At 40.6% G+C, this 12,798-nt stretch overlaps 1 protein-coding gene across 17 annotated transcripts in view, besides 1 other annotated feature; it reads right to left on the bottom strand.

Annotated features, from left to right (window-relative positions):
* Positions 1 to 12,798, bottom strand: part of AUTS2 (activator of transcription and developmental regulator AUTS2) — a 1,195,032-nt gene that overhangs the window by 1,094,499 nt on the left and 87,735 nt on the right. The gene's annotated exons all lie outside the window — the stretch shown is intronic.
* Positions 1,756 to 1,805: an enhancer, noted in NCBI's record as "active region_26100". NCBI's record gives its function as "activates an Ori minimal core promoter by ATAC-STARR-seq in GM12878 lymphoblastoid cells {active_cell/tissue: GM12878}" and the evidence as "EXISTENCE:reporter gene assay evidence [ECO:0000049][PMID:35858748]".

The raw sequence follows: 12,798 nt of genomic DNA, 5'->3' as shown, positions 1-12,798 counted from the left end.
CAAAAGAGTATAATCATAAACAGGAGAATGTAAACATAGGAAAAAATATATAGTCAAAGTTATATATGACATTGGGAAATCTATCTTACCTCCTATGTTAGATGATCTGTGCTACTGTTTCCTTCCCATACATACCCACCCCTTATCTTTAACCTTCCCCTCCCCAAGTGCAGATAGTCAAGAACTCAGCAGTTTTAGCACTTAAAAGTTCAAAACTTATTTGTGAGTAAATTTGAACCCAAAAGCATGAATAAAAATCTCAAAATACAACCTAGTGTGAAAATTTGACATGTTGGCAGATGCTGACCCAAATTGACTCGGCAACACATTATCTCCAATGGGATCACTCATATGTTTCTTGTGTTAAGTCTAAGGCTGTGTGCACTGTGAGGCCATTAAAGCAGACCACGGGCATGTGTGGTATCTTGCAGGAAAGTAGGCAGAATAAAGAGGCAGCCTATGACATCAGTGATCCTACTAAGAAGGAACCCCCAGGCTCACAGATAATAACATTAAATGGTAGACAGGCTGCCACTCAGCAGGTAAGTACTTTTTAAAAACCCTTTGGTAGACAAGTCATCAAAGCCCAGCTCAACAAAATACTATCTAGGGAAAATTATTTGCTTTTCTACTAGATCAATAAGTAGCAAATAAGGTTAGAGACTAGAAATGAGCAATCAATAAAATAGGGAAAGCACCATAACCTGTCACTGGTTTTGGCCACATCCTTCGTTCCTGTCTACCGGTTTTCACAAAGAGAGGAGAGACAACTACTATGTCACTCAATTTTTCGCATATACACACCTAACATTTTATTGTGCTTAAAATTATGGGACCATTATTAATGGCCAAGACACTCCATATCAGATCACCACTGGAGAAAAACTTGCCCTAGAGAGTTCTATGTATAAATTGAGTTATACATAGATGTATTTTACCCAAAGTCCCTGCTCAAGCTTAGGATAACAGGAGTTTCTAAAAGTAACATCCTGTTCTCCCTTCTCTTTGTCTTCAGGTCTGTCTTAGTGTCTTAATCAGCAGAGCCATAATCTAGAAGGCTCCACTATAAACTGCCGTGTTATCACAAAATGTCTGATCTACTTGAAGAAGTGAAGGAAAAGCGGCATGCTGATCCACTACAGAAAGTTCCCATGGTACCTCATGAATTTTTGAAGCTGTCTCATAAATCAGTTCAGCCAAGATCACTTAACTTGGTCTTGTTACAAATCCTGCTGCCACAGTGGACAGTGTCTGAAATTGTAATTTAAAAATGGAGGAAGGACTCTTCCACAAAAGCTGGGGTGGAGAGCTCACAATGCCAGTTCAGGAGTGTCTGAATACAGAGCTTGGGATGCCCAAAGTCAAGGACGAGAGGAAACTGATCTGAGCACTAACAAAATCCTAAGCTGCAGAAGATTCATTTTCTTTCACTTATTTCTGTAGGTATAAAGCTAAGACAGTCTGAGAAAAAGCTCAGACTGCACCTCATAGCAAATCTAGAAAGCCTACCCCTGACATCACCACAGCACTTCTCATATTGAATCACGATTGGTGGGTTTCTTAATTTAATCCTCTCTCAACTGTGAGTTCCCCAAGGCAGAGATCATTTTATTTATCCCCAGTGCACCTAGCTCAGTGCATGGCACCATGGATACAGTACATAAATATTTGGTGGATGTCTACTTAGAAGAGGCAATGCTTCTTGTAAAAGAAAAGGAAGCCTATACAATTCAGTTCATTTGCCCTTGGCAAAGAGGAACATAAGATCTACATCCTAAAACTGATTCTCAGAGTAAGGTCCTTGGACTAGTAGCATCAGCAATGCCTGGGGCCACATGAGAAATGCAAATTTTAAGGCCCCACCCAGGCATACTGAATCAGAAACTATGGATGAGGTCTAGCAATCTACATTTTAATAAGCCCTCCAGACGATTTTAATGAAAAGTAAAGTTTGAGAATCATTGTCCAACAGTTTCTGTGCATACACATACGTTACAGCTTCCTAACCTATCCCTTAGAAGTGAGACAACTGAATAAGATAACTCTAAACGTTTTTTAGATGTTTGGAAATAAGTTTACACACAACCATGAACCAGCTTTCCTGGTGGTGTTAATTAATTACATATGCAATGCTGGTTCAGTGGTTTTTATTAATCTGTTTCTCTCTGCTCACAGCAAAGACATACATATTTTACCAATGAAAATACAAAAGTCAAACCAACAGCTGAGACACTAGAAAAAAAATCTTTTTACAAATTGACCAGAACACATTAGAAAATTAATGTTACACAAAGTGACAAGAAGGTCAGGTTCTTAGGGCAAAATGGAGGTCATTCTGCATTTATCTCCAACTCAAACAACTAAAAGACATTCAGCAAAGATCTCCTCATTCTCCCCACTCTGTGCATGGCTATGGTGGCCTTCTCCCAGATTATCTGCTGGTATTTCTAAAGAGCAGATCGAGATAAGAGGGTAAGAGTATTCAGAGTGCTCAAAGAGGGAGGAGCAATTTTGTCACATGGAGACTTCAATGACATGTCAACAATGAGCCTAATTACCCTGCTGCTATTCTGAAAATAATTCTATACCCTTCACGTAAAAAAAAAATTCTATACCCCAGTGAGTCTATTTTGGAGGGAAAACAGCCCAGCAAAGACACCCTTGGCCAGCATTAGAGAAGGCTGACGTTACTAAGGAAACTCACTTGGGGAGGAAGTGCTGAGTCTCTTGGCCTTTCCCTGAGGAGGGGTAAGGTAACCAAACCAAAAAGGGAAGAACAGAGGTCCTCTTGAGCCTATGCAGCTGCTAGAGGTGCACCGAGGCTAACCGCAGGCTTCTAGAGGTGTCAAACTGCTCTGCAAAACTAAATTTGTCCTTGTGGCTGGAGAAATCGCAAAAAGAAAAGTGAATTCTCACCCATGATCTGACAGATGCATGTGCTTCACTAGCCACGAATATATTCAGATATTAAAGGGGCAGCAATTTTTAAAACTGATCATAATACGTTTTCATTCAGGGCCCACAAAACAAAAATACCACAAAGGGTGTCTTCCTATTTGTAGATGGAAAAAGAGCATTTCTTGAGTGTCAAGAAGGCCCCTTCTTGTGTTCTCCCGTAATACAGAAGCTACTGACCAAGAAACCGTGCTTAAAAATAAAGATTTTTTTTAATGTCTAGTTTCCATACCCAGTTTCAAGAAATTCAAAATTAGAGTAATTTTGGTCAAAATCTGTTAGATTTATTCCTGCAGTTGTGGGAGGGGGGCATTTTTAAAATGCTTCACTAAAACAGAAAATATACAAAAGCATGCTCTTAAAATATAGCAAAATATTATAAACAACATCAAGCCTATTAATGTCTACTATCAATCTAGTTTTAAGAGGATAGTTTTTTAAAATGGATATGAACATTTGCCCAATTAATTTTGTTTTTAAAGTGAGTATTAAAAAGCACAATATTTAGTCGAATGTGATTCAAATTCATCCAAATCAGGACCTACCCCTAATCAAATATCTGACTACAATTTTTCAAACAGTTAATAATTTTTTTGTTTTATATTTTATTAAGCTGAATAACACAATATAGTATTTCCTCTATATGACCAACCTGAAAATATTATATTCCCTGTTACTTTGTTAATCTATATTTATATTTTTAAAAAAATTTTTTTTCTTTTTTATACAAGAGTCTTGATCTGTTGCTCAGCCTGGAGTGCAGTGGTGCGATCACAGTTCACGGCGGCCTTGATCTCTGGGGCTCGAGCTATCCTCCCACCTTAGCCTCCAAAGTAGCTGGGACCACAGGGGTGTGCCACCACATGTGACTTTTTTTTCTTTTTTCTTTTTTTGTAGAAATGGAGTCTCACTGTGTTTCCCAAGCTGATCTCAAACTCCTGGGCTCAAGCAATCCTCCCACCTCAGCCTGCCAAAGCGCTGGGATTACAGGCATGAGCTACCATGCCTGGCCTGTTAATATATTTTCAGTGATTAAACAAATGATGACAAAACATAGGTTACCACGTTCTCTCCCATGGAATACCCATTTCTGTAAACACCCAAAATGTTCCAGTGGGGTTTTCCTGCTTTATAAAGCAGTACATATTTTAAACCCCTTTTACTCTTAATTTCAAAGACGTTTGGCGTTTTGCAAAGCTAGAAAAAGTAATTTTATCTCTCACTGCCATACCTACAGTCAAACTATAAATAGTAAGGCCACCTTGTAAAATAATGGATTTCAATCTACTTTCAACTTTGAGGGTCCGCATTACAACTATAATTACTTCTTTTAGATAACTCCTGTCCACTAAGCACCCAAATACAGAACAACGAAAGCCAACTTTCCACTTATGAAAACCCACAGAGTTTAATTTGTGATCTATTCTTTGTTCCTGAATAGGAACATGGTTTTGCCATGTTGCCTAGGCTGGTCTCAAACTCGTGAGCCCAAGCCATCTGCCCATCTCAGCCTCCCAAAGTGCTGGGATTACAGGTGTGAGCCACCATGGCTGGCCATAGAGCTTTTCTTATCCCCTGACTTCCTTTCCATGTCATTACGTTTTCTATTTTCACTCAGAACCCAAACTTTTTTCCCCAAACATGGCTGGGCATCAAAATCACCTGCAGATGCTATAACAGGATGTCTTAAAAGAACAGTAAAGAAAATAAAAATTATAATTTTTAAAAAGTAGAAAAAAAATTACCTGCAGGGCTTTCAAAAATTAAACATTCCTAATCCTTACCCCCACTGAGTCAGAATTTCCAGGAGTGAGACACAGAAATCCCTATTTGTTTTTAATGAATACTCAAATTTCAAAACTAGTACTTGGTAGCAGGGAATCAACAAGCAACACCTATTAGTTCCACCTAACTGCCCCAGCAACAATCACACACGAGTCTAAGGAAGCCATCACTGCAAGTAAAAATGTTTTAAGAGGAGACATCTAAATGGCAGAACAATAAGGTAAAATGAAAACCTAGTGTTGCCCATGAAATTCAGCAAATCTACCTGTAGTCTCCCATCTCCCTGCCCAATAGTGTAAAGACCACAGTAGTGGTTCCCAAGTTTTAGCAGGCATTAGAATCACCCTACACAGCGTATTAAAATTTCTGATAAGGGAATGGGGATCTCATGAATTTGCATATCTAACAAATTCCCAAGGGATGCTGCTGGTCCAATAACCATGCTTTGAGAACCACCAGGCTAAAGCAATGTCATGGAAATCAAATCTGGTGCAATTCCAGCTTTATCGCTAACTAGCTACACAACTTTGAGCAAGTCTCAAATTCTCTAAATTTTGTCTTCTCTTCTTCAGTGGGAGAGAGAGAGAGAGACAGACAGAGAGAGAGATATGATATCACAGTATCTCCTCTACCTCCAATACTACCAGTTCTATGAAACACAAATCCCAGCTGAATGAGCACATGAAAATGCAGGAATCTTAAAGGTAAAAGAAAAGGTTCCAGTCCTTGAAACAAGCAGTCAAGTATATTAACAGCCCAAAATAACACACACATCCAGAGGCAACAAATTAGTCTTTTTTGTAGTTTTCTAAAGCCTTTGCTAATCCATATGGCCAAGAGAAAAAATTATCATGTTTCCAGAATCCCATCCTTATACAAAAAAACTTGTCATGGCATGAGTTAAATTTCCTTTTGGCACCAAGTATCTCAACTATTTGCCAAAAAAGTCCTGTGGCTTTACCCCCAGAATGGGGAAATGGGCTGCTAAGATTTACAGAATGTCCAAAATACACCAGGCGCTGACAGATGTTTTCACACTCTGTTGCTCAAGTCTCCACAACAGTATGAAATAAATAGAATCCTCACTGTACAGATGCTGAAACTGAGGCTCAGGGAATGTTAAGTAACTCACTCATGACAGAACAGGTAATTAATGACAGAGTCAAAATTTGTACTAAGGTCTATACAACTCTAAACCTCTCACTCTGTTCAAGGTGCCACAGTTTCCTCATTATTTCCATCTACCATAACACTTGAAAATGCCATGAGAGAGATCTTTTTCTCAAAATTAAGGTGAGGAAAGTTCTAGCGTGTTTATAAATTAATTTTGAGGGAAGTCTCTCGGTCAGTGCATTCCTGACCAGCCTCTTGAAAGCTGGAACCTAGAGGGGTTTCAGAAGCCTGTTACATTTTTCATGTAAACCTGAAAAACAGGCTAAAATTATGTGCTTGAGCACATTCTCAGCTCACTCTAAGCAGCATAAAACCCCCTAAACAAATGGGTTGTTAGAAGACGTGGGCCAAAAGAGAACAAAGAAACCATCCCCCAAGCCCCATCCTAAACACAATCCAGATTGGTATATACCATGACTCTTTAAAATAGTCAAGTTCAAGATCATAAGCTAATCCAAGAAAGTATCTCTCCATTTCCCCTCAGGAAAAGTTGAGCACAAATTTGCATCAACTGAAGAGACAACAGATAAGAACCAAATTGAAAGACATAAGGATACAATAAATAAAAGCTATTTGTTAATGTTTTCAGGCTACTGAACTGTATATTTGATAGTTCATACATGTAAAGACTCTCCAACCTCATATTCATCCATTTCTCCAATAAAATCATCACACACGTAAGTACCAGAGCAACACTGGAAAACATTTCATATGTCTGTATTTCACAGCCCTAGCAGAAGAGTGACCTTAAAAATGGTAGGTCTTTAAAATGATAAGTGTTTCTATAAAAACTCCTCATTTCAAAGGACCACCGAAGTCTTCCAAAGGTGTGGTTATTCTCCTCCAGTCTTCGTTGCCAACCACACAAAAAATTACGTTTGTTCTATTATCTCTACAGACTTGGAATGGCACTTGGAATGCCAGGGGTAGGGAAGATTGCAGAGGTCACAGGTGTTCTCCTTAGTGGGCCAAACGCCCACTGGCAGCACAATTCTCCCACCTCTAAAGCATATACACACAGCCCTTGTAGGCACTGGCCCCGCTGAAGCTCTCAGCTTCAAGCTCTAAGGTGCTCAGCTGGATGGCACAGTTGACAAAAACAGGGAGCTAAGGAGACCAAGACTGAGGCATCTGAAGCTTACACAGGTCAGTCTACTTGGCTCAGATCCATGGGTGGAGGCTTCATGTCTAACTTCTACATGCCTGCCAGATGCTACCTGTAAGAGACAAAAAAAAATCTATCCTCCCTACAGGAAAAAACACTTCCTGCCTTGGGTCCCACTGATGATGGCAGCAGCGGCCCATGCTGCAGCAGGGGAGGCACAGCCAGGAAAAGACAGGAGCCCCACCCCATACCGAGTTAGCAGGGTGGGAGCCCTGCACTCCTGGGCACAGCTGCAGCTGCCCAGCTGTGGCTCTGGACCCAGGCATCCCTGTGTTCTCGGGGGCCCAACTCCCATAGGCTTGGAAGTACATGCTCCCACTCCCTGGCCTCTCCCCACTCCCGGCACCTGCTCTGGTGCAGAGCAAAGTTGTGGCTGAGACTGGGCACTGCCGCGACCCAGTCAGGTGTACAGTAGCTCAGGTGATGTTGACACACCAGCCCTCTGCCACCTCGGCCCCCTCTGGACTTTGGCTGCAAACAGGTGCAGGAGGGAAGTGGAGGATGGGGGTGGGTGCTGAGGGTAGCTTGGCATGGGTCTGCAGACACCCCTCTCTGCACAAACAGCCTAGACACAATGGACAGCTTGTTGACGGTGGGAGGCAGACAGGTTCCTGGGCGGAAAGGGGTAGGTCCCCTGTGAAACCCCAACTTCAAGCCAGGGATGGCCTGAAGCCTAGGGGCCAGGCTGCCAGTTCCAGCTGGAGTCCGTGGCTTGGAATAAGAACTTACGGTGCTTTCTCCAGGCCCACTCATGGCCACCCATGGACCAATCAGCACATACTTCCTCCCTTCCGAGCCCATAAAAACCCTCGGACTCAGGTAGACTCAGGCAGATGTCAGGACTACCAGCTGCAGGAAGGAGATACCCACTTTGGGTCTCCTCAACTTGTCAGGACAACCTGACTATGGAAAGCACTTACCCACTATGGGTCTCCTCTCTGCTGACAGCTGGAAACTCGTCAGGATGACCTGCTGTGGAAGGGAGCTACCCACTTCTGATCTCCTAAGAGCTCTTCTGTCACTTAAATGAAGCCCCTCTCCGCCTTGCTCACCCTCTGGTTGTCCACGTATCTCATTCTTCCTGGATGCAGGACAAAACTCAGCACCCGCTGAATTGCGGGACTGAAAGGGGTGTAACACAACCCCCAATAGCCACATTGCAGGTGACGAGAAAGAGAGAAGAGTTGCAGCCCTTCAGGAAGCCCAAACCTAGTGGCTCTACAAGCCAGGACTGTGACACCCTGTTTGGGGTTCTGTGGTTCCTGGAGTCTCCAAGCTTCCAGGTGCCACCGCATTCCCCAGTGCCCACAGTGGAAGCTGCTTGCAGTACACCTGGTCCAGCCACAGCCTCATATGGAGCTGCCCACCCCACAGCCAGCATGCCTGGCTGTGCCAGTGGCCGGACCCTGCACTTGCTCACACACCCCTTGCCGCTCTGCGCCTGCTCACACTTGGCAGGCATGGGATTCAGGCCGGCAGCAAAACCTGAGCACAGCCTGCCCAGCTGAGTGGGTGGAACAAGCCCAGCAGGCCGGAGCAAAACTTGGGCAAAGGCACCATAGGCCACAGAGGTTTCCAGCTGGAAAAGTGACACCCTAAGGATCCTGTGACAGTGAGAGCAATTCATACATAGAGAATTATGTCTTCTATCCTAGAACACCAACTATATTATATGTAGGATACTCCATGAAAACAGTAACAGCCTCTATTTATTAGTCAACTACTAAGTTATGAAATATTCAAATCATGACTAATATTTACTGAGTACCTACTATGTGCCATGCACATGCTATTCTAGGAGTTATGGATACAGCAGTAACAGACCAAAAAAGTAAAATTTTAAAAATATCTCCCCTTACAAAGCTTACAATCCAGTAGAAACTTAAATAATATTCATTCAGATGGTAAAAAGTTGTTTTAAATAGAAGTAAGGAGTTGGCCGGGCGCAGTGGCTCACGCCTATAATCCCAGCACTTTGGGAGGCCAAGGCAGGCAGATTACCTGAGGTCAGGAGTTCAAGACCAGCCTGGCCGACCGACATGGTGAAACCCCATCTCTACTGAAAAAAAAAAAAAAATACAAAATTAAGCCGGGCATGGTGGCACATGCCTGTAATCCTAGCTACTCGGGAGGCTGAGGCAGGAGAATTACTTGAGCCTGGGAGATAGAGGTTGCAGTGAGTCAAGATCATGCCACTACACTCCAGCCTGGCCGACAGAGAGAGACTCTGTCTCAAATAAATAAATAAATAAATAAATAAATAAATAAATAAATAAATAAATAAATAAAAGGCCGGGTGCGGTGGCTCACGCCTGTAATCCCAGCACTTCAGGAGGCCAAGGCAGGCAGATCACGAGGTCAGGAGTTCAAGACCAGCCTGGCCAATACGGTGAAACCCTGTCTCTACAAAAATTAGCTGGGCATGGTGGCACGCACCTGTAGTCCCAGCTACTCGGAAAGCTGAGGCAGAAGAATCGCTTGAACCCAGGAGGTGGAAGTTGCATTAAGCCAAGATCGCGCCACTGCACTCCAGCCTAGGCGACAGAGAGAGACTCCGTCTCAAAAAAAAAAAAAAAAAAAAAAAAATTAATTAATTAATTAATTAAAAGGTAAGGAGTTAGAGAGTGATCAGGAAGAAAAGAGGAGCTATCATGGAGAAAAGAGGTCAGGGAAAGCCTCTCTGAGGAAGTGATTTTGTGGTCAAGGTAGACACCTGACATTTACTATCAGTAGTCTTTATGAAACCCCCCAGGCAGGGATCCATATTCTACAAATGAGGAAACTAGACCTCAAGGTAGCTGAATGATTTGCCCAGGTTTATGAATGACTATAATCCACAATGCCCTTTTCATTACACAAAGGTTTCAAGACACTCGCCTTAATCTCCAAGGCAAAATCTGCACATCCCAGACAGTGCCAAAGAGGATTCATTCAGGTACAAAAAGAAAATCAAATTATCTATATGTAATTAATTTTTATCTCAATCCTTTAAACTCCTAATTTTGGAATAAAATTTACACATGTAAATATGCATATAATTTTGAAGTGAACAAATATAAAATATGTATTGTTGATATGGACACATCATAAAAATTTCAAGATCATTTCCCTAGATGGATAATGTCAAAGAAATAAACAAGGGGGTGTGGGGAAGATAGGGAGAGCTCTGTTAAAGGATACAAAACTACAGCTAAATAGGAGTAAGTTCTATTATAGTGTTCTATAGCACTGGAAGATGACTATAGTTAACAATAATATATTACGTATTGTCAAATAGCTAGAAGGAAAATACTAAATGCACCCAACAAAAAGAAATGATAAATGTTTGAGATGATGGAATGCTAATTACCCTGATCTGATCACTATACATTGTATGTATTGAACATCACTATGTACCCCATAAATATGTACGATTATATGTCAGTTAAAAAAGAAAAAAAGGAAATAAACAAACATGAACCCTCTTCCCAAGGGCAGAATATATTGTTATGCACAGCCTGTACTCTGTGAACATAATTATAAATTTCCAAGTACAAAATAAACTAGATCATAAATGTGAATCTAAGGTGCAACTTCACTGTAGAGTTGAGACATTTTATTCCAGCACCTCATTCAACCAACACACAGGCCTCCAGGGCTGAGGCCCCACACACTGATAATTATTCAGCATGCTCCCCTGACTGGGAAACCTGTTTACTCCGCACTGAAGGGAATCCACCAATTCATTTCAAATTGGTCACCAGACAACAGCTGTCAACTGGTAATAACTTTTGGTCACTCCCTACCCAGGCTGTTTAATACACATGTAAACATAAGTTTCATAAATTGTTCAAATGCGTATTTACTCAAAACACCATTATGGGTCCATCAGACTGTTACAGGCTATCAGCTAAATAACATGCATTTTTTAAAAGGCTTGGCAGCTTAATACATATTTTTACTGCTCGCATAACTCAGAAACAGCCTCAGAGTAAAACGTTTAATTTGACACATAAATAGTCCATTATATGGCTTAATCCTCTTTTGTGTTTTCAGAGAGGGAAGAAAGTGGCAGGGTATTTCAATTTGATAGGAAAAGCAAAGCAAAGGAGAAGGAAAAAAATTATTCACACATAGCTGTTGATCTTAACTTCAGGGCCAGGTTTAAGAGGGTTGGTAAATAAAAGGGTATTTAAAAAGAAAGAGTATCTGGGTTATCATACGCGTTAGGATGACCATATTTTAAAAAGAAAGAGAGAGAAAGGTCATTATTCAGATAGTCTCCTGGATCTTAATCCTACTCAAAATGTCTAATATCATTTACCTATACATTGATCCATTAGACTAGTGTTTCTTAACGTAAGGCTCTAGAATCACTGGTACCCACAAGAACATTTCCACAGATACTTGTTTTCTTTAATATGAGCTTTAATAAGCTAGTTACCTTAGATAAGAGAGGGGAGTCCTAAAAACCTGTATTAATAAATTAATATCAGCAAGTTAGCAAAGTATATAAAGGACTTGAAACTGGCATATCAAGAATGTCAGCTACTATACAATTATGCAAAGTGCCTACCTTGCACTTACACACACCAACAGTTAGAAAATTCTCACAATTCTCCAGAAGAATGATTTATTATCACTGTAACCTCACTGTGGTCTTAAGTCAATCACAGTTTGCATTGCTGCTATTCCTGCTTTTTAAATATAAATTACTTACTTTAATTTTATCATTAGAAATTTGACTTTTTGAAAATTGTCTGTTTAATCTCATGATGCGCAGTGGTGCATATTTACAGCATTTGTTTCTGTCCTGTAATTTTCCAATAATGAGACTTGTATGTGTTATGGTTAAGAATAATCCAAATCCCCACTGCTAAAGAAGACATAGATAGAATAAGCCCAACTCCAAAAAGAGTACTTGTAAACATTCATCTGTGACTTTATAGTCTCTAAATAACTTACAATCTACTATACCAAGGTAAGTATGACAAAATTACATTTTTAAAGCTTATGGGATACTTTTATAAAACAAAATATGTATATGGTTCATATTAACGTGTGCTTATCTTGATGCTGGATGGTATAGGTGAGATAAGGAGCTTCTGTCCCACCTAAGTGGGTTAAGACCAAAAAAGCTGAAAATCACCACTCATGACCAGTGGTTCTTAATGTTTTCTGGATCAGAGCCACTGCTGAGAATCTGACAAAAGCTATATTCTATAGAAAAAAAGGTAGTCATGCATTAAAATTTGCAACCCGGGCCATGTTTCTTAATTCTTAGAAGCCTTTATACAGCATACCCAAATTACTTATGTCAAGACAATTTTGTAATATTACTTTTCTATAGTATTTTGAAAACAACAGAATTTTAAGTTCCTCAAAAACATTCAACTTTTTGAAACTGCTTATGACTCCTTGGAAATTGCAAATCTCTCGTCATTCTTAAACAATATTCTTGAGGTCCCTAAACCCAGTGTGTTAAGAACCCCCAGTCCCAGATCTCTTTCTTTTTCATCATTTCAATATCAACTCAGAAAACTGTACCTAATATATTTTTTGGTTCATATTAGGATTTATTCCTATTTTTAGACACAAGGAGATGTGTTACTTTCTATTATGAACCCTCCAAAATCCTACAGTAGAAAATGACTTGTTCCTAAAGGTCTGACATTCGAGTATCTGTGGTCCTTTTACTATAAGGCCACGTATATTCACGATTCAAATATCAGCTCCTGTTG

The sequence above is a fragment of the Homo sapiens genome, chromosome 7, assembly GCF_000001405.40.
Source record: "Homo sapiens chromosome 7, GRCh38.p14 Primary Assembly".
Lineage (NCBI taxonomy): Eukaryota > Metazoa > Chordata > Mammalia > Primates > Hominidae > Homo > Homo sapiens.
This window is presented reverse-complemented; position numbering and strand designations above follow the sequence as displayed.